Source organism: Homo sapiens, chromosome X, assembly GCF_000001405.40.
Source record: "Homo sapiens chromosome X, GRCh38.p14 Primary Assembly".
Taxonomy (NCBI): Eukaryota; Metazoa; Chordata; class Mammalia; order Primates; family Hominidae; genus Homo; species Homo sapiens.
Window position 1 is genome coordinate 2,784,925 of NC_000023.11, and position 21,022 is coordinate 2,805,946.

Sequence of the window (21,022 nt, forward strand, 5' to 3'; positions counted from 1 at the left end):
TTTATTTTGCCAAGGTTAAGGACGTGCCCGTGACACAGCCTCAGGAGGTCCTGATGACAAGTGCTCAAAGTTGTCAGGACACAGCTTGGTTTTACACATTTTAGGGAGACAGGAGATATCAATCAATATGTATAAGAAGTACATTGGTTTGATCTGGAAATGCGGGACAACTGGAAGCAGGGGCTTCCAGGTCACAGGAAGATACGAGACAACTAGTTGCATTCTTCTAAGTCCTTGATCGGCCTTTTACTGAAAACTCAATTTACATGTGAGACAGGGCAAAGGAATAGTACTTATGCCTCAGTCTGGCCCAGTGAATCTGCATTTTTCATCAACAATAGGGCAGAGGAAGCAATCAGACATGCATTTGTCTCAGGGGAGCAGAGGGGATGACTTTCTGTCCCACACCTGTGAAGATGAGCTGTTGGTGTACATTGCCAGGGTGAAATTCCACAGAACTGTTTTAGGGTAAACAAAACAGTTTACTTTCCTCAGATTGTGAGGACAGTATGTAGCTTTTAAAAAACTTAAAAAAATTTTTTTGTAGCTATCTTATTTAGAAAGAAAATGGGAGGCAGATCTGACTAACTTTTTTTTTCCAGCTTGACTTTTCCCTTGGCTTAATGATTTTGGGGTCCCAAGATTTATTTTCCTTTCACAATTGAACATCAGAACATGGAGTATTTAACACAGGAAATGAGCAAATTTAACGTACACACCCAAGGAAAAGGAAAAATGAAGCTGGTTGGAAGTTAATTATGGATAGTGTGGTATATGAGCAGAAATTCCCCTTAACCAGTGTTCTTGCCCAGGCTAGCCCAAATGAGCCCAGGCTAGCCTAGATTCCCAAGTGTGTATCTTGAGAACGAGGAAGAGCCCTAGAAAACAATGTGTAACGTCCCTCCAAGATGGGGTGTTCTGGAACAATCCCTCAGACAACGAAGGCAATTGTTGATGGGCAACATTGGGAAGACCCCAGAGATGGAATGTCCTAGGCCTTTCCATGTTCTCTTTCTCATTCTCCCTCCATTGACTTGATAGGTGGCTGGGGGATTTATAAGTATTTACCACACACCAGCCAGCTTTCTCCGGATGGCTCCAGGCATGCTTGGAGCCCAGTGGTCTCTTTCCCTTAGAATTTGATCTGGAGGAACCCAAAATTCTCTCTGTGTCCTTTGAAATTCAGCACATTTTTCTTGGCTTCCATGAGCTCCTGTGGCATTTCTCAGGCCAACTGTTGACTCTGCTTCCTATGTCTGTGCTTGTCCCTTTGAGAGATGTCAGCGTTGCTCACCGATTCTTTTCTCTGACCCCAGCAGCTCCTATCCATGTTGTCTTTTTTTTTTTTTTTTTCAGACAGAGTCTCACTGTATTGCTCAGGCTGGAGTGCAATGGCACGATGGCATGATCTTGGCTCACTGCAACCTCCGCCTCCTGGGTTCAAGCAATTCTCCTGCCTTAGCCTCCCGAGTAACTGGGATTACAGGCGTGCAACACCACACCTGGCTAATTTTTGTACTTTTAGCAGAGACAGGGTTTCACCATGTTGGCCAGGCTGGTCTCAAACTCCTGACCTCAGGTGATCTGCCCACCTTGGCCTCCCAAAATGCTGGGATTACAGGTGTGAGCCACTGTGCCTGTCCTCATGTTGTCTTGAAAGTAACAAGACAGGCACGGATTCTTTTTGATGCAAGCTGTTATGGGATGAATTATGTCTCCCCGCAAATTCATAGGATGAAGTCCTAACCCCCAGTTTCCTCAGAATGTGACTGTCTTTGGAGATGGGGCCTTTAAGAAGGAGATTAATGTAAAATGAGGTCACTAGGGTGGGTCCGGATCCAATAGGACTAGTATCCTAATAAGAAGAGATGAGGACTTAGACACACACAGAGGAAAGATTATATGAAGACACAGGGAGAAGACGGCATCTACAAGCCCAGGAGAGAGGCCTTAGGAGGAACCAGCCCAGACCATATCTTGATCTCACACTCCCAGCCTCCAGGACTGTGGGAGAATCAATGTCTGTTGTTTATAAGCCACCCAGTCTATGGTGTTCTGTGACAGCAACCTGAAATGGACTAAGACACCTCATAAGAAGGGGAGATGAGGACGCAGACACACACAGAGGGACAATCCTGTGAGGACACAGGGAGAAGATGGCATCTGCAAGCCCAGGAGAGAGGCCTCAGGAGGAATCAGCCCAGCCCACACCTGGATCTCAGACTTCCAGCCTCCAGGACTGTGGGAGAATCAATGTCTGTTGTTTATAAGCCACCCAGTCTTTGGTATTCTGTGATAGCAGCCTGAAATGGACTAAGACATCTCATAAGAAGAGGAGATGAGGACACAGACACACACAGAGGGACGACCCTGTGAGGACACAGGGAGAAGATGGTGTCTACAAGCCAAGGAGAGAGGCCTCAGGAGTAAGCCCAGGAATCAATGCAGTTGGAGGTTCTGTGTGTGAATGGAGGAGGGAAGCTCACAGATGAAGGCGTTTTGAGGGAGGACTGACCTTACAGTGAGGTACCCAGAGACTTCCTGAACCAAGCCACGAATATGCAGCTCGTGCTCCGGGCAGTGCCTTCTGGCCTGGAAACCAAAGCTCCCTTGTGTCCAGTCCCCACTCCTCTGTTTGGCCCCCAAGTTTCCATAATCCCCCACAGTTGTATCATTTTAGAGACCTCAAAAGAGAGTCTAGGCTGGGCGTGGTGGCTCATGCCTGTAATCCCAGCCCTTTCAGAGGCCGACGTGGGTGGATCACCTGAAGTCAGGATTTCAAGACCAGCCTGGCCAACATGGTGAAACCCTGTCTCTACTAAAAATACAAAAATTAGCTGGGCATGGTGGTGTATACCTGTAATCCCAGCTACTTGGGAGGCTGGGGCCAGAGAATCGCTTGAACCCAGGAGGCGGAGGTTGCAGGGAGCCGAGATTGTGCCACTGCACTCCAGCCTGGGCAACAACAGCAAAACTCCTTCTCAAAAAAAAAAAAAAAAAAAGAGAGTCTAGGCAGGGCATGGTGGTCCATGCCTGTAGTCCTAGCTATACTCAGGAGGCTGAGGTAGGAGGATCACTTGAGCCCAGGAGGTGGAGGCTGCAGTGAGCTATGATTCACCACTGCACTCCAGCCTGGGCAACAGAGCAACACCCTGTCTCAAGAGAGAGAGAAAGGGAAAGAGAGAGAGACTATTTTGAGAAGTGAAAAACCAGTCATTCTCAGCCCAGATTTCCAGTGTTCTGAGACGTCTGTCCTGAGGAAGGACTTTGAGAACAGCATCCTTGCCTTTTTTGTGAATTAAAGTAATTTCACTCTTGAGCCAATGTGGATAAGCACTTGACAGGTACTGGCAGTGCCAGGTACCAGGAATATAGAATGGGTACAGAAAATAAAGTTTCTAGTCCAGCGACAAAAAGGTGCTGAAGATACAGACTCATGTCGTGCAAAGAGCTTGCACTGATTATTTCATTTCGGCTTCTTGAATAGGGTCAAAGGACATTTAAGCTGAGACAGGAGGGACGAGCTAATTAATGCTTTTCCAGATGACAAATGGATTCTTCAAATATTTAGGGAGAGTGTAAAGTGATGGACAGGGAACAGGAGGGGTCATGACAGAAGGAATGCCACCTGCAAAAGTCCTGGGGCAGGGCTGGGCACGGTGGCTCATGCGTGTAATCCCAACACTTTGGGAGGCCAAGGTGGGCAGATCACCTGAGGTCAGAAGTTCGAGACCAGCCTGGGCAACATAGTGAAATCCCATCTCTACTAAAAATACAAAAATTGGCCAGGCGTGGTGGCACACACCTGTAATCTCAGCTACTCGGGAGGCTGAGGCAGGAGAATTGTTTGAACCCAGGAGGCAGAGGTTGCCGTGAGCTGAGATCACACCACTGCACTCCAGCCTGGGCGACAAAAGCGAAACTCCGTCTTAAAAAAAAAAGTCCTAGGGCAGAAAGCTCATGGTAAACTTGAGGAACATGCAAAAGTCATTGCAAAAAGTTTTAAGAAATTCAAATGAAGCCAGGCTCAGTGTGGCTAATGCCTATGATGATTCCAGCTCTTTGGGAAGGCAAGACAGGACGATTGCTTAAGAACAGGAATTTGAGACCAACCTGGGCAACATAGCAAGACCTTGTCTCTACACAAATTTTAAAAATTAGCCAACTATGGTGGTATGCACCTGTAGACTGAGCTACATGGGTGGCTGAGGTGGGAGGATTGTTTGAGCCTAGGAACTCGAGGCTGCGGGGAGCTATGATTGCACCACTGCACTGCAGCCTGGGCAACAGAGCAAGACTCTGTCTCAAAACAACAACAACACAAATTCAAATGAAACGGTGTAACTCAAGCAAGATGGAAATACAACACACTATCAAAAGGTCAGATGTTTCATCCTAACATTTATAGAAGTGACTGACTTCTGTAAATGGTGCTGGCATCTGTAGTAGCCCTAAACAGGGAAAGGTCAACAACGCACTTTCTGCCCTGTTAATTTCAGAGAGCCCTGGACTTCTTGCGAAAGCACCAGTGGTGTAAGTTTTTGTTTTTTCATTGTAAGCTCTGAGGTGGTATTATGAATATTGTCTACATGATTAATAAGCTCCGTAAAAGCAATGGGCAGTAACATCTTTTCTGTACTTTGGCATTCTTATTTATAGATGGTATCTACCTGAAAGATGTCATTATTTTTCTGAAATCATACTGTTGTTTTCCAACAGATATCTACCCAAGGCCAAAGCCACGCCCTCAACCCCAGCCTGGCAATTCCGGCAACAGTGGAGGTAATGAGTATTTATTTATTTATTTTTATTTTATTTTATTTTATTTTATTTTACTATTTTATTTGATTCTATGTTATTTTACTTTATTTTACCATTTTATTTGATTCTATGTTATTTTACTTTATTTTATTTGATTCTATGTTATTTTACTATTTTATTTTATTATTTATTTTGGAGACAGGGTCTCGCTCTGTTGCCCTGGCCAGAGTGAAGTGATGTAATTGCAGCCTTGAACTCCTGGGCTCAAGCAATCTTCCTCCCTCAGCCTTTCAAGTAGTTAGGACTACAGATGTGTACCACCTACATTGCACCACCTATATTTCACCACCTATATTGGCTATATTTCAAATTTTTTGCAGAGACAGGATCTTGCTGTGTTGTTCAGGCTATTCTTGAACTCCCGGCCTCAAGCAATCCTCTGCCTCAGCCTCCCAAAATGCTGGGATTACAGGCACCAGCTATTGTGGCCCAGCCTGATAATCAGTATTAAAGTCCATTTTAGAAGTGTTTGGGGCCAGGCACAGTGGCTCATGCCTGTAATCCCAGCACTTTGGGAAGCCGAGGTGGGCGGATCACTTGAGGTCAGGAGTTTGACACCAGCCTGAGCAATATGATGAAACCCTGTCTCTACTAAAAATACAAAAATTCGCCGGGCGTGGTGGTACATGCCTGTAATCCAGCTACTCAGGAGGATGAAGCAGGAGAATCGCTTGAACCCGCAAAGCGGAGGCTGCTGTGAGTTGAGATCACGCCACAGCACTCCAGCCTGGGAGACAGAGCGAGCCCCTGTCTCAAAAGGAAAAAAAAAAAAAAAAAGAAGTGCTTCACGCCTGTAATCCCAGCACTTTGGGAGGCCGAGGTCTCCTCAGGCAGATCACCTGAGGTCAGGAGTTTGAAACCAGCGGCCAACATGGTGAACCCCTGTTTCTACTAAAAATACAAAATTAGCTGGGCAGAGTGACGCGTGCCTGTAATCCCAGCTACTGGGGAGGCTGAGGCAGGAGAATCGCTTGAACCCAGGAGGCGGAGGTTGCCTTGAGCCAAGATTGTGCCAATGCACAATCTATCTAGGTGATAGAGTGAGACTCTGTCTCAAAAAAAGGCGGGGGGGTGGTTGGATACAAGTATTATTTAATGACTTAAAAATTCTCATCTCCATGGTGAAAGACCAATTGCTTTTGAAATGCACAGACATTGTTTTGCGAGGAGTTCAGTTCTACTATCCACCAGCACCTGGGGATTACATTTAGTTGATAGTAAATAAATTTAAATGTTTTTGATGACATTGACTGAAAAATACCATGCACACTAAGACATTTCAAGTTATGATGGAGGAAGGCAATTTTTTCTTGTTTTTTTTTTTGTTGGTCTGTGTTCTACTCACTTATTCTTCCCTCTGCAAGAGTTATCTGCGGCCACTTTGCCTGTGTTCCTACAGCACTTCCCATCTCCGCCTTGGCAATTGTGTCTCACGAACGTGAGACACTCAGGAAAGAGATGCTGGTCTGTAAAGTTGGAAGAGTCTCAGCGATTCCATTGGTGGGGCAAATGTGTGCAGATTGAGGAAGCTAAGATACACTGGGTGTCTTCCTCTCTCCACCTGCTTTAACCATTGGGAGTTCCCCTGATTGTGATTGTTTCAGGACGTTGCTTGGATGTTGTCATATTCCTAGGGTTCAAGGCACTCCGTGAAATCCAAGGAAACAAGCTTTGGGTATGTCCCAGTGCCTTTTCCCTTGGGTCTTGCAACTGAAGAATTGTGTTTCTTCCCTAGAAAAACGAACACACTTTTGCCCACTCACCCACCTCCTGCAAGTCTCCAAAACCACAGCGTTGTATCCTAGACTATGTTCCCCCAGGAGGTGGTTCCTCCCTCTGCATTCCCGTACTCCATACTGCTTGATATGTTCTTACATGCAACACCGTGCAATTGTGTTTAGTTGATTCCTGTGAATTAGAATGAGAACTCTACATGGGCATGGATTTTTGCCTTTCATTCACTGCTGCATTCCCTAGTCTGGAAAGCTGTGCCTGGCACACAATGAGTCCTAGGTGAAGGTCAGTGAAGTCATTAATGCTTGAGTCCCAACAGGCAAACAGCTGGATTCATGAATGAAAGACTTACCGCTACATCCCTTCATCAGGGTGTATAGCTTCAACTCCATTTCCTGGAAAGCTCTACAATAGTTCTTCCTCCTCAAAAGGCTCTGGTCTTGTGATTCATAGCATTCGTCCACCAAGACATGAACAAGGGATCTTTATGTCAGAGGTTCCCTGTTCAAAGCTGTTTTAGAGGCCAGGCGTGGTGGCTCATTCAGGTAATCCCAGCACTTTGGGAGGCCGAAGTGGGAAGACCACTTGAGGTCAGGAGTTCGAGACCAGCCTGGCCAACATGGTGAAACCCCATCTCCATTAAAATACAAAAATTAGCCAGGCATGGTGGCATGTACCTGTAATCACAACTACTTGAGAGGCTGAGGCAGGAGAATCACTTGAACCTGGGAGGCGGAGTTCAGTTGGAGTTGCAGTGAGCCGAGATCATGCCATTGCACTCCAGCCTGGGTGACAGAACGAGACTCCATCTCAAAAACAGTAAAAATAAAAAAGCTGTTTTAGGAAACATCCCTTTTTTATTATTTTTTCTTTGAGTCAGGGACTTGCTTGGTTGCCTAGGCTGAAATGCAGTGGCGGGATCACAGCTCACTGCAGCCTCCACCTCCTGGGCTCAAGCAATCCTCCGACTTTAGCCTCCTGAATAGCTGGGACTACAGACACACAGCACTCCACCTGGCTAATTTTTTCTTTTTTCTTTTTCTTTTTCTTTCTTTTTCTTTTTCTTTGTGTGTGTGTGTGTGTGTGTGTGTATGTGTGTGTGTTGGGACAGGGTTTCCCTCTGTTGCCCAGGCTGGTCACAAACTCCTGGCCTTAAGTGACCCTCCTGCCTTGACCTCTCAAAGTGCTGGGATTACAGATGTGAGCCACTGAGCCCAGCCCTAGGAAACAGCCTCTTAAGCCAAGTGCAATGACTCTTGAACTCCCCAGAGCCTCTGTGCATGCTACCTCGACTTCAGCTTCACAGATGTATGCAACTGCGGGATCAGGTTAGGGGCACTCACTTACCGGCAGTCCCAAAGCTCTGGAGAGTCTGTGCTGAGGGAATGGTCCATGTTAAAGCAAAGCAGAACAACCACTCTGCCTTTTGTATTTTATACTTGTTTTTTTTTTGAAACAGGGTCTCTCTGTGTCACTCAGGCTGGAATGCAGTGGTGTGATCATAGCTAACTGCAGCCTCCAGTTCCTGGGCTCAAGTGATCCTCCTGGCAGATGGGACTACAGGCGCACACCACCAAGCCCAGATAATTTTTTGTATTTTTTTGTAGAGACAGGGGGTCTCACTATGTTGCCCAGACTGGTCTCCAACTCCTGGCCTCAAGCAATCCTCCCGCCTCCACCTCCCAAAGTGCTGGGTTGCACCCGGCTTGCATTTCACACGTTTAATAAACTCAATCAGCATGTTTCCTACCCCCTAGAGTGACAATGGTGCACATTAGCATGGATTTCTTATAGATCGAGACCAAAGACCTAATTACTTATCTATAGACCAATCTTGGAGAGGAAAGGCAGACTCCAAGGGTTAATTCGGGGTCCAGGAACCACAGAAGGAAGGTCTCCTTGGATCTCGTTTGAGCCTGAAGTAGCTCAGTCTATGACAGACACCATCAGAGGGCAGAGGCACAGGTGAACGCAGCAGTCGGAACTTTGTCAGAGCAGCAAAGGACATCTTAGGAAATGAGGCTTGCAAAGCAGCCTTGGGTTATTGAGAAAGCTCTCTCAGCGTGGATTCTCAGGGCTCTGGGATCTTCTCTGCCTTGCAGGTGCCTCTTTGTTTTTTGGGAGGAAGCAGGTGGGTCTCATGTGTCAGGGCAGTAAGGAGCAGGAATGAATGGATGAAACAAATCTGTTGGGGTGGGTAGCGGCTGTGCTCTGGGGAGCCAAGAGAGAGACAGGGGGATGGTGCTGGTTTCAGACAAGATAGTTGAGCAGGAACTTGAAAGAGAAAAGGAGAGTGGATCGTGGGGACCTGAGAAGCTGGAATTCTCCCTGGGGAATCGGCCACTGCCAACGTGAGGGCTGGGGTTAGGAGCATGCCTATGGTGATGGAGAAGCCTGGGGGAGGTGCCTGGTTGATGGGGCAAGAGGAGCCATCTGGAGAGAAGGAAAAGCCTGGAGTCTCCTTCCGGGCTTGCTTAAGGACTAGGGAGGGGCAGGACATGAGATGATGTTGGAGGATTCTGAGCAGGGGATGGGCCTAGGTGGGAGGTGGGGCAGAAGGAGAGCTGGACGAGGACATGGTGAGAGGTGATGTTGGCTCATCCAGGAAGGACGGCCAGGAGGAAGCAGAGGGAAAGGGGCATGCAAAGGTCCAGAGGCAGGAGCAACGGGGAACATCCAGGGAAGGAGGGAAGGGCAGGGGATTTGGAGATGGGGCACCCTGAGAGAGGGATCCAGGCAGCAGGCAGACACGACAGCCTGAGCTTCACCCCAGCTCACGGTTGGCCCTGGGAGGGCTTTGAGCAGAAGAGGGGCAAACATCAGCAATATGAGGCCACACTGCAGACGTTCTGGGCCCTGCACACGCCTCCTTGCAGGCAAGGCGGCCAGCCCACAAGGTAATTTAATTCCTGGTGCCTGTGGGCGTCCTGCAAAGAGCCAGTTGGCGTCGGAACGCTCTTCTCCAAAACCTGTGCCAGTGCCCCCAGCGCAGACCTGGTGTGAAGGGGACCTTTGGAGAGGTCTCATGAGCAATGCCGCGTGCTCTGCCCCACAGGTTACTTCAATGATGTGGACCGTGATGACGGACGCTACCCGCCCAGGCCCAGGCCACGGCCGCCTGCAGGTAGGTGCCGAGCCTCCCCAGATGCGACACATTGAATTTGCACAGAGAGGGTGGGATGAGAGGCCTGAAGTTGGGGATGAGAGAGCTGAGGTTGGGGCAGAGTTGGTGACGAGCAGACGATAAGCTGGTGCAGGGGATGACAGAGAAGGCCCCATGGCCGCATCAGTGGGGTTTGCGGTCTGGGCATCTGTCCGCCTCTCCAGGCTGGGGGACTGGATGGAAACAAAATGAACAGGCAGAACTGGAGGGTCCACTGAAACACTTGCGGTCATTTCTGTTTAGACTTGTATATGTGTAAGTGTGGGTGTACATGTCCAGACACACCTTTATATATCTGCATGCTTATCAATCTTCATTTGTGTGTATATAGATGTTTATGTATCTTTATATTTGTGTGTATATATGCTTTTAAATATATATAAATGCATCTACATATGTAGGTATATGGTTTTTTTCATGTGTGTATATACATGCTTTTGTATATATACAGTACGTGGATACCTTTCTCTGTTTTTATATATGTATATCCTGACTTTATATATATCCTTATATATATCTTTACATAGGTACATGTTTTATATGTGTATATATATCTTTATATTTATATGCAGATATATGCTTTTTATATATATTTATGTATATGTATATCGTTTAATATATCTTTTTAAAAATATATCTTCATGTATATCTTTAAATACATATACATTTTATATACATTTTAATATTTTATGTGTATGTTATATAAATATATATCTTTACATATATAATTAAATATATGCCTTTATTTATATACATCTTTATATATGTACATATATACCTTTACATGTATGTGCCTTTATTTATATATGTATATATTTATATATACACTTTTATATATACATATGTGTATATCTTTATATGTGTGTATAAATGCCTTTATATACGTACACATATACCTTTATGTGTATATACTTTTATATGTGTTATGTATGTACACACAACTTTATATATACATGTGTATATATCTTTATATAGGTATATAAATGTCTTTAAATATGTATATACATATCTTTTGTATTTATTTATTTTTTTTTGAGACGGAGTCTCGCTCTGTCGCCCAGGCTGGAGAGCAGTGGCACAATTTTGGCTCACTGCAACCTCTGCCTCCCGGGTTCAAGTGATGTTCTGCCTCAGCCTCCTGAGTAGCTGGGATTACAGGCGCCTGCCAGCACGCCTGGCTAACTTTTGTATTTTTAGTAGAGACGGGGTTTCACCATTTTGGCCAGGCTGGTCCTGAACTCCTGACCTCGTGATCCACCTGCCTCAGCCTCTCAAAGCGTTGGGATTACAGGCGTGAGCCACTGTACCTGGTCTATATGTATATCTTCTAATGTATCTTTATATATATCTTTAATATATCTTTATATACATGTACATTTTATATACATTTTTATATTTTATGTATGTTATATAAATATATACATTTATACATATATAATTATATACCTTTATTTATATATCTTTATATGTACATATATACCTATATATGCTTTTATATATGTATGTGTACATTTATATATACACTTTTATATATGCATATGTATATGTCTTTATGTGTATAAATATCTTCATAAATATATTTATATATCTATACATAACCTTTATATATGTATAAATATCTTATATAAATATATATTTTATGTGTATATATGCATTATTTGTATAAACACATATTTGTAAATGTCTTTCCATATATATGCATATATAGCTTACATATGTTTCTATACTGTTATATATAGGTGTATACCTTTACATATGTATGCATACTGTTTTATATATGTGTATATAGGTCCCTTCATGTATATATGTATATACATTTAGGTATATGTGTGTGTGTGTGTGTGTGTATATATATATACACCTTTATATATGTACATTTATCTTTATACACACAGACATATATAAACACTTCTAATATAAAGTTTTCTCTGTAATTGGAGGTGAATGTCTATCAATAATCTTTCATATAGAAATACAAGTACAGACTATAGGAGACAGAGATGCATACAACATTGGGCTGAAGAGTGTGATGTTTGAGGCTTTATTTTCAAGCATGTGAGGTTTCTGGCCTGTTTAGTTCTGCAATTTTATTTTAGAAGACATAAAGGACTTGTCCCAGATATTTTGCAAAGCTGGACCTGCATCTTTCGGACAACCAGATTGCATCCAGTCATCTTTTCTGCCGTGTTTACTTGCAATAAATAAAGAGCGCTGTCTTAGGATTTATTACAATAACAATCAGGAATAAACTAAAAATTACTAGTTATTTTTGAAAGGAGAAGCTGAGAACATTTACGATTGAGACCATCTGCTGGAAGGTCCTCCTAATCCGGCGTCGGCGTGGCTGATCTCATATCAGTTTCTCGGCAGGAAGCGGGTGCGCCTGCGTGAATTTGGAGTCCCCAGGGTAAATGTTAGTCCCGTGACGGCAAAGTGTTTTTGATAGCTAGAGCTCAGTGTTGGCATGAGTTTTCCCACGGGGAAGAGGAAGCTTTGGTGGGGCCACCCTTGACTCTCCCCTGCTGGTCACTCTTTGGAGCTCTCTTGGCAGTGACACGTTCACACGACTTGTTGCCATTCCCAATGAGCTGGACAGACCAACACCTGCAGGAAACCCCACGCTCAGACACCTGAACATCCCTCAACTCTACCTTCTCTGTCTAACAGGAGGTGGCGGCGGTGGCTACTCCAGTTATGGCAACTCCGACAACACGCACGGTACCCCTACATCTGGGCATGCGATGGTGGGTGGAGGGTGGGAGGGGTCATCTTTCTAGGGCTCCCGCTTGCACTCTGCCCTGGGCCTTCTACCTGGAGTCTTTGGTGAGTAGGGTGCTGTGTGCTGGTGCCTGGTCTTCTGAGAACCTGTCTGTGCTGGGCTGTTCTGCTTCTGTTCCCCAGGAGGGTGGGTGCAGCCACACATACACACACGCATACACACATGCACACACACACACACACACACACCCCTTTAGGTAAAAGTAAACAGAGCAAAGAACTATACAACTAATTAGAGAAAGAGAGCATCCAACAAACTGGAGAGCATCCAACAAATTCTTTAGGGGCGCAGCTCGCTTACTTCAAGCAGAATAGAAAACACTTTCAATGGCTGGGCGCGGTGGCTCATGCCTGTAATCCCAGCACTTTGGGAGGCTGAGGTGGGAGGATTGCTTGAGCCCAGGAGTTTGAGACCAGCCTGGACAACATGGAAAAACCCTGTCTCTACAAAAAATACATATATGCAAAAATTAGCCAGGCGTGGTGGCATGTGCCTGTAGTTCCAGCTACTCAGGAGGCAGAGGTAGGAGGATCACTTGAGCCCAGGAGGTCGAGGCTTCAGTGAGCAGACAGAGATAAGATCGTGCCACTGCACTCCAGCTTGGGTGACAGACTGAGATCCTGTCTCAAAGAAAAAGAAAAGAAAAGAAAAGAAAAAAAGCAAGAGAACTCTTTTGGTCGGTGCTTATGCCCAGAGTGAAAGCCGTGTTCTACAGAAGCCATAAACAGGCTCTTGGCTTGGTTGAGTTTTTCTCATGGAGACCAGGGGACCTTGAAACCCTCAGATCCTCTCCGGTTTGGAAAACGACTGAAGCAAAATGTCATCACTGAGAAAGAAAACAATAACAAAACACTCTGTAGGTTGATTTTAAACCATCATCTCCGTTTTAACATTTTCCCTTTGTTAAGAGTTTTGTACACCTTCAATGAATTGAGTAACCATCTTTTCTTTTTTTTTTTTTTTTTTTTGAGACAGAGTTTCACTTGTTGCCCAGGCTGGAGTGCAGTGGTGTGATCTCTGCTCACTGCAACCTTGGCCTCCCGGGTTCAAGTGATTCTCCTGCCTCAGCCTCCCAAGTAGCTGGGATTACAAGCATGTGCCACTACACAGGGCTAATTTTTGTTTTTTTAGTAGAGACAGGGTTTCACCATGTTGGTCAGATTGGTCTTGAACTCTTGACCTCAGGTGATCCATCTGCCTCAGCCTCCCAAAGTGCTGGGATTACAGGCATGAGCCACTACACCTGGCTAATTTTTGTATTTTTAGTACAGATGGGGTTTCACCTTGTTGGTCAGGCTGGTCTTGAACTCCTGACCTCAGGTGATCCGCCCTCTTCAGCCTCCCATAGTGCTGGGATTACAGACGTGAGCCACCATGCCCGGCCTTGAGTAACCATCTTTTTGGTTAAAACTAATATGTGCCAAGAGCTCTGGTAATGTGGGAAGTACTTTTTTTTCTTTTTCTTTCTTTTTTTTTTTTTAAGATATGGTCTCATTAGGCTTTGTGAGAGCCAAGGCTGTTGGCCCCCTAAGTTTTCTCTGAATCACTGACATGAGGCAGCTTAATTAACAGGAGAAAAAGCGTATAAATTTATTGAGTGGATATACACGCAAACCTTCAGAACCAAGACTCAACCACCAATGGGATGCAAAAGCTTATAGACCATCTTTTTTAACTTTGATGTTAGGTTCAGGGGTCCTTGTGTAGGGTTGTTACATAGGTAAATTGTTTGTCACCGGGGTTTGGTGTACACATTATGTCATCACCCAGGCAATAAGCATAGTACCTGATAGGTAGTTTTTCCATCCTCACTCTACTCCCACCCTCTGCCCTCAAGTAGGCCCTGGTGTCTGGTGTTCCCTTCTTTGTGTCCATGTTGTCAATCGAGAAAAATGACGAGACGAGCGTAAAAGATTTATTTGCCAAAGTTAAGGTTAAGGGCGCGCCCCAGGAGACAGGTCTGTGGCCTTCTCCGAAGATGATTTTGAAGGCTGCAAATTTAAAGGGGAAAGGGTGGGGGTAGGGAAAAAGAGTTATTCATGCTTTTGTCTGGCTCAGTGAATCTGTGTTTTTTTACATAAGATGGCATAGACAAATGGGGCAGAGGGAAAATGCAGGGAATCTGCATGTTGCATAAGATAATCTGGACAAAATGGGGCAGGGGAGCAATCACATATGATTTGTGTCTGCTGGGCGGGGGTGACTGCAAAGCTGTCGATTTGCATATTGTCATGGTGAAATCTTCACAGCTCACTAGGATTTTCCTTGTGGGCAAAATATGGGGGAGACGTGTAGCTTTTCATCTTGTAGCCATTTTATTTAGGAACCAAAAGGGGGAGGCAGGTTTGTGTGACCCAGTTCCCAGCTTGACTTTTCCCTTTGACTAAATGAGTTCAGGATCACAAAATTTAATTTCCTTTCACAATGCGTACTCCGTGTTTAGCTCCCACTTGTAAATGAGAACACATGGTATTTGGTTTTCTGTTCCTGCATTAGTTTGCTCAGGAGAATGGCCACCAGCTCGATCCATGTTGCTGCAAAGGACATGATCTTGTTCTTTTTTATGGCTGTGTATATGGGCCACATTGTATATGGGCCACATTTCCCTTATCCAGTCTACCATTGATGGGAACCTAGGCTGATTCCATGTCTTTACTATTTGAGTTTGCTATTTGTTGTTCTTTGCAGGAAGAATGTGGGCTCAGAGCATGGCCCCAAATAGGTGACGTTGGTAAAGCAGGTTTAACGGGTGGCAAGCCAGGTGATGAGAGGGAGACAGGAAGAGGCCTGCTTAGCAAGGGGGTCCTTGTTATGCAGATGAAGGTTCCCAGGTAGCAGCGCTCAGAGACGACCATGGTAAATGTTTCTTTTCAGACCTGTAAAGGTGTCAGAGTCTCCGTTTCTCTCTCCTACATCCAGGAAAAGCTTAGAAAGGGAAGGCCTGGCTGCAACAGCAAAGATCCTCTACAGATGCCAATTTCCCCACCTCAGTCTGCTGGCCCTGGAGCGGCAATTTCAAAATAAGGCAAAGCAATATATTTTGGAGTAAAATATTTTGATGTCCGTCATCTTCGTTACCTCGGAAGCGAGTGTTGTCATCAGATCCATTTAACAAAATGAAAGCAATGCATGACGCTCGACTGTCCACTTCAAAGGAGCAATAGCTGTGGCCCTATAGGTAGCCCATCCTCAGAACTCACTCCCTATGACACAGACAAGCTTCAGGATGGGAGGGGGCTCATGACAAAGTGCTCATTACCTGGGGTCAAGAACTGTCTACTTTTGGCCGGGCATGGTGGCCCACGCCTGTAATCCCAGCACTTTAGGAGGCCAAGGTGGGTGGATCCCTTGAGTTCAGGAGTTCAAGACCAGCCTGGGCAAAATAGTGAAACCCTGTCTCTACAAGAAAATACAAAAATTAGCTGGGCATGGAAGTGTGCGCCTGTGGTCCCAGCTACTCGGGAGGTGTAAGTGACCCTGGAAGTTTGAGGCTGCAGTGAACCGTGATAGCACCACTACCTTCCAGCCTGGGCCATGGAGTGAGACCCTGTCTCAAAAAAAAAAAAAAAAAAAAAAAGGACACTAAAAAAGAATTGACCACCTTCAACTCAACGTACTATGAGATGAGTTCCTTCCACCATCTTTCTGGAACTAGCTAAGGGGTTCCCCTTACCTACTACCTAGGTAGACCTGATTTATTAAGACGGGAATCGCAATAGAGAAAGAGTTTAATTCACACAGAGCTGACTGAACGGGAGCATGTGAAGCAGCTATGCTGTCTGGGGTACATACCTGGGGTTCATTGTTGCACGCTGAGAAAGAATTCAGGACACAGACACATGTGGTTGGGTTAAGGAGTTGAAAGTTTAATAGAAGAAAGGAGAGAGGAGAGCAGCTCCTTGCAAGAGAGAGAGGGAGAGAGAGAAAGAGAGAGAGAGAAAGAGAAGCATCTGAAAAAGTTGGGAGGTTGTGGACCGCAGCAGCTTTTGTAGGCAGGCTGGAGGAGGTGGTGTCTGATTTACATAGGGCTTACAGACTGGTTCGATCAGGTATGACTTCTACATAGTGCGTGGGGAAGGCTGGTGGCCCCACCCTAATTTTGTTATGTAAATGGGCTTTCCAGTTGGTCAGTGCCATCTTGTCTGCTACTTACTGTACATGGGGCTGACAAAGAGGAGGGAAGATGAAGCTGCCATCTTGAACGTGTCTAGGCCCTAGTTCCTGCCGGCATTCACCCATGTAAGCTCCTAGCTGGCTTGTCTATGTCTGCAGCTCAACTTTATTTTTTATTTTTTATTTTTTTTTGAGACGGAGTCTCGCTCTGTCGCCCAGGCTGGAGTGCAGTGGCGTCATCTCGGCTCACTGCAAGCTCCGCCTCCCGGGTTCACGCCATTCTCCTGCCTCAGCCTCCCGAGTAGCTGGGACTACAGGCGCCCGCCACCACGCCTGGCAATTTTTTCTATTTTTAGTAGAGACGGGGTTTCACCGTGTTAGCCAGGATGATCTCGATCTCCTGACCTCGTGATCCGCCCGCCTCGGCCTCCCAAAGTGCTGGGATTACAGGCGTGAGCCACCGCGCCCGGCCACAGCTCAACTTTACAGGCTGCTCTTTGTTAGAAAATGATTTGGGGCTGCTTTTCATTAAAAAGAAAAGCCTTACCAAGGACTCCCATACCCTTGCTATGTGCCTAAGTAATTAACTAATTCCTTCTTAACTCCTATATCAACTGGAGGTTTTGCTTTTTTTTCTTTAAACAGGGTTTCATTTTGTTACCCAGGCTGGACTGCAGTGGTGAAATCATAGCTCACTGCAGCCTCAACCTCTTGGGCTCAAGCGATCCTCCCGCCTCAGCCTCCTGTGTAGCTAGGACCACAGGTGTATGCCACCACACCTGCCTAATTTTTAAAAAATTTTTGTAGAGATGGGGTCTCACTATATTGCTCAGGCTGGTCTTCAACTCCTGGCCTCAAGTGTTTCTCCGACCTCAGCCTCCCAAAGAGCTGGGATTACGGGCATGAGCCACTGCACCTAGCCAAGACTGGAGTTTTATGACTCAAATCAGCTTCCCCCAAAATTTGGACACTGGGCTTTTTAACGTGTAATTTGGCTGGTAGGAGACCCGGGCGTGGGGAGTGCTGAGTGGTTGGTTGGAGGTGGAATGACAGAGGACGGACATGGGTTCTTTTTGTTGTCTTCTGTTCTTGTGTGGGACGGCAGAGCTCGCTGAGCCGCATTACCAGTCTGGGTGGCGCCGGCTGGTGCATCTCAATGAAGGGTTTAAAAAATGTCTCAACTTCAACCTTAGGTTTTACAATAGTGATGCCATCCCTAGGAGCAACTGAAGAGGTTTGGAATCTTGTGGCCTCCGGCTGCATGGCTCCTAACCTATTAATATAATTTCTAATCTTGTGACTAATTTGTTAGTCTTTCAAAGGCAGTCTGATCCCCGGGGAAGAAGGGAGTTTGTTTCAGAAAAGGGCTGTTATCTTTGTTTGAATGTTAAGCTGGAACTTCCTCCTATGGTTATCTGAGTCTGTGTTCAGGAATGAACTAGGGCTGTTCGAGGGCTACAGGCACGATGCAGTCGGTTAGGTCAGATCTCTTTCACTGTCGTAATTTTCTCACTGTTATAATTTTTGCAAAGGCGGTTTCAATTTAACTGAAAATGTCAGGCAAAGACCAAATTTAATATTTTTACAGAAAGCCACTGGGAGTAGTTTTTTATTGTTTTATTATTTATTTATTTAGAGACAGAGTCTCACTCTGTTGCCCAGGCTGGAGTGCAGTGGTGCAATCATAGCTCACTGCAGCCTCAAACTCCTGGGCTCAAGCGATCCTCCCACCTCAGCCTCCCGAGGAGCTGGGGCTACAGGCACACACCATCATACCCAGCTAAATTTTTAAGAAATTTTTTGTAGAGATGGGGTCTCACCGTTGTAACTGCCCAATGGGTTTACCTTGCCCCCTGCCTAAACAGGGCCGATTTATCAAGACAGAGGAATTGTAATGGAGAAAGAGTAATTCATGCAGAGCCAGCTGTGCCCGAGACCAGAGTTTTATTATTACTCAAATCAGTCTCCCCAGGCATTCAGGGTCCAGAGTTTTTAAAGATAATTTGGCGGGTAGGGGCTTGGGAAGTGGGGAGGGCTGATTGGTCAGGTTGCAGAGGGAACCATAGGGGGGTGAAGTGAGGTTTTCTTGCTGTTTTCTGTTCCTGGGTGGATGGCGGAACTGGTTGAGCCAGATTACCGGGCTGGCTGGTGTCAGCTGATCCATCCAGTGCAGAGGCTGCAAAATGTCTCAAACACCGCGCTTACGTTTTACAATAGTGATGTTACCCCCAGGAGCAATTTGCAGAGGTTCAGACTCTTGAGCCAGAGGCTGCACGACCCCTAAACCATAATTTTTCTTTTCTTTTCTTCTTTTTTTGTTTTTTTCGAGACAGAGTATCACTCTGTTGCCCAGGCTTGAGTGCAGTGGTGTGATCTCGGCTCACTGCATCCTCTGCCTCCCTGGTTCAAGCAATTCTCCTGCCTCAGCCTCCCCAGTAACTGGGACTACGGGCACATGTCACCATGCCCGGCTAATTTTCATATTTTTACCAGAGACGGGGTTTCACCATATTGTTCCGGCCGGTCTCGAACTCCTGACCTGAGGCGATCCACCCTCATCGGCCTCCCAAAGTGCTGGGATTATAGGCTTGAGCCACTGCGCCCAGCCCTAAACTATAATTTTTAATCTTGTAGCTAATTTGTTAGTCCTACAAAGTCCAACTGGTCCCCAGGCAAGAAGGAGGTGTTTTCAGGAAAAGGCTGTGATCAGTTTTGTTTCAGAGTGAAACCATGAACTGAATTCCTTCCCAAAGTTAGTTGGGCCTATGCCCAGGAATGAACAAGGACAGCTTAAGGGTTAGAAGCAAGATAGAGTCGGTTAGGTCTGGCCTCTTTCACTGTCATCATTTCCTCAGTTACAATTTTTGCAAAGGTGGTTTCGCCACGTTGCCCAGGCTGGTCTTGAACTGGGCTCAAGCGATCCTCCTACCTTGGCCTCCATAAGTGCTGGGATTACAGGCCTGCACCACCACATCCGGCCCACCTTGGAGCGTGTTATATAAAGCGAGCCGTCCCCACACCCCTACAGCCTACGAATGAGCCTTTTCACCCCATGCACGATTCTCTGAAACTGCTCTCTGTAAGGAGCTATTCGGGACACGTTCTTTTGTTCTCTGGCATACTCATCAGGTAGAAAGAAGTGATTCAGCAAGCGGCTCCCCTGAGAGCCCTGATCGTTTCCTGTTTTCCTGTGAAGTTAGTCTCGGGAGGTCTGCGCTGTGCCATTTTTGGGGGACCATTATCTGGCTCCCGAATGGATCAAAGCTTACTGGTCAGGGGGCTGCTGTATCCCTGGGGCAAAACTGCCAGAAAATAGCAGGTAGCCCTGTGGTCCTTGGCAGGGCCAGGGCCCGGTGGAAGCAGCAGCTGGGCCAAGAACATCAGGCGTGCATGAGGCACAGCCCAGTTTTGGGAGCATGACGCTTGTTTTCGAGGATGCCTGTGCTCCCCTTCCTGCCTGGACCCCTGCTCTCCAGCCCCGGCAGAGCGAGGCTGTGAGTCAGCGCTCGGATTAGCATCAGCATGGAGGTGCCGGCTGGGATGCAAGCCGCCGCCATGGGATGAGTCACGCGGCTTCTCCCCGAATCCCCAAAGGAGGCAGAGCGTGTTAGGCTTGTTCTGGCTTCATGCAGAGCACTGAGGGGTGAGGGCTGACCGTGGCTGGCCGCGGAGGGAAGCCCAAAGTCTGGCCTCCCTGCGGAGACTGGGGAGAAAATGTTGCGCTCGTCGTTTTTAAATACTGGGGGACAAGTTTCCCTTGTCTGCTAAGGCTGCCATTGTAAATTACAAGAGTCAGGAGGGCTGAAGCAAAAGGGATTTCTTCTCCCACAGTCCTGGAGGCTGGAAGTCTGAGATCAAGGTGTGAGCAGGGCTGGTTCCTCCTGAAGCCTCTCTCCTTGGCTCGTCGACATCATCATCTCCCTGTGTCCTCACAGGGTCGTCCCTCTGTGTGTGTCTGTGTTCCAATCTCCTCTCCTTATGAGGTGTCTTAGTCCATTTCAGGCTGCTATCACAGAATACTATAGACTGGGTGGCTTAGAAACAGCAGACATTGATTCTCTCACCGTCCTAGAGGCTGGAGGTCCAAGATCAAGGTGTGAGCAGGGCTGGTTCCTCCTGAGGCCTCCCTCCTTGGCTTGTAGACACCATCTTCTCCCTGTGTCCTCACAGGGTCGTCCCTCTGTGTGTGTCTGTGTCCTCATCTCCTCTTCTTATAAGGTCTGTAGTCCTATTGGATTAGGGCCCACCCTAGTGATCTCGTTTTATTTTAATCACCTCTCTAAGGACGTTGTGTTCAAATACAGTCACAGTCTGATGCCCTGGGGGTTAGGACTGCGACCTGTGAATTTGGAGGGGGATATAGTTCAGCCCATAGAACCCACTATCCACATAAGTCATTCCACTTCAAAATC

The 21,022-nt window shown here is 46.3% G+C and overlaps 1 protein-coding gene across 6 annotated transcripts in view, besides 8 other annotated features; it reads left to right on the forward strand.

The window, feature by feature from the left end:
- XG (Xg glycoprotein (Xg blood group)) overlaps positions 1 to 21,022 on the forward strand; it is a 64,461-nt gene that overhangs the window by 32,885 nt on the left and 10,554 nt on the right. For 4 of the 6 annotated variants that reach the window (XM_005274587.5, NM_001141920.2, XM_011545575.4 and 1 more), the window contains 3 exons: positions 4,720 to 4,785; positions 9,611 to 9,679; positions 12,386 to 12,436. In XM_005274587.5, the coding sequence (XP_005274644.1) occupies positions 4,720 to 4,785; positions 9,611 to 9,679; positions 12,386 to 12,436 (186 nt within the window). The remainder of the gene's footprint in view (positions 1 to 4,719; positions 4,786 to 9,610; positions 9,680 to 12,385; positions 12,437 to 21,022) is intronic. The other 2 variants (NM_001141919.2, NM_175569.3) reach the window with 1 other exon arrangement.
- Positions 8,985 to 9,573: an enhancer, noted in NCBI's record as "H3K27ac-H3K4me1 hESC enhancer chrX:2711950-2712538 (GRCh37/hg19 assembly coordinates)". NCBI's record gives its function as "activates a minimal SCP1, AML or CMV promoter by ChIP-STARR-seq in naive H9 embryonic stem cells {active_cell/tissue: H9 hESC(naive)}" and the evidence as "EXISTENCE:reporter gene assay evidence [ECO:0000049][PMID:30033119]".
- Positions 14,391 to 15,333: an enhancer, noted in NCBI's record as "OCT4-NANOG-H3K27ac-H3K4me1 hESC enhancer chrX:2717356-2718298 (GRCh37/hg19 assembly coordinates)". NCBI's record gives its function as "activates a minimal SCP1, AML or CMV promoter by ChIP-STARR-seq in naive and primed H9 embryonic stem cells {active_cell/tissue: H9 hESC(naive and primed)}" and the evidence as "EXISTENCE:reporter gene assay evidence [ECO:0000049][PMID:30033119]".
- Positions 15,334 to 16,275: an enhancer, noted in NCBI's record as "OCT4-NANOG-H3K27ac-H3K4me1 hESC enhancer chrX:2718299-2719240 (GRCh37/hg19 assembly coordinates)". NCBI's record gives its function as "activates a minimal SCP1, AML or CMV promoter by ChIP-STARR-seq in primed H9 embryonic stem cells {active_cell/tissue: H9 hESC(primed)}" and the evidence as "EXISTENCE:reporter gene assay evidence [ECO:0000049][PMID:30033119]".
- Positions 18,257 to 18,922: an enhancer, noted in NCBI's record as "OCT4-NANOG-H3K27ac-H3K4me1 hESC enhancer chrX:2721222-2721887 (GRCh37/hg19 assembly coordinates)". NCBI's record gives its function as "activates a minimal SCP1, AML or CMV promoter by ChIP-STARR-seq in primed H9 embryonic stem cells {active_cell/tissue: H9 hESC(primed)}" and the evidence as "EXISTENCE:reporter gene assay evidence [ECO:0000049][PMID:30033119]".
- Positions 18,923 to 19,587: an enhancer, noted in NCBI's record as "OCT4-NANOG-H3K27ac-H3K4me1 hESC enhancer chrX:2721888-2722552 (GRCh37/hg19 assembly coordinates)". NCBI's record gives its function as "activates a minimal SCP1, AML or CMV promoter by ChIP-STARR-seq in primed H9 embryonic stem cells {active_cell/tissue: H9 hESC(primed)}" and the evidence as "EXISTENCE:reporter gene assay evidence [ECO:0000049][PMID:30033119]".
- Positions 18,923 to 20,679: a biological region, named in NCBI's record as "CDK7 strongly-dependent group 2 enhancer GRCh37_chrX:2722445-2723644".
- Positions 19,480 to 20,679: an enhancer, noted in NCBI's record as "CDK7 strongly-dependent group 2 enhancer chrX:2722445-2723644 (GRCh37/hg19 assembly coordinates)". NCBI's record gives its function as "activates an origin of replication core promoter dependent on BRD2, BRD4, P300/CBP, MED14 and CDK7 cofactors, with strong dependence on CDK7, by STARR-seq in HCT116 cells {active_cell/tissue: HCT116}" and the evidence as "EXISTENCE:reporter gene assay evidence [ECO:0000049][PMID:35650434]".
- Positions 19,588 to 20,253: an enhancer, noted in NCBI's record as "OCT4-NANOG-H3K27ac-H3K4me1 hESC enhancer chrX:2722553-2723218 (GRCh37/hg19 assembly coordinates)". NCBI's record gives its function as "activates a minimal SCP1, AML or CMV promoter by ChIP-STARR-seq in naive and primed H9 embryonic stem cells {active_cell/tissue: H9 hESC(naive and primed)}" and the evidence as "EXISTENCE:reporter gene assay evidence [ECO:0000049][PMID:30033119]".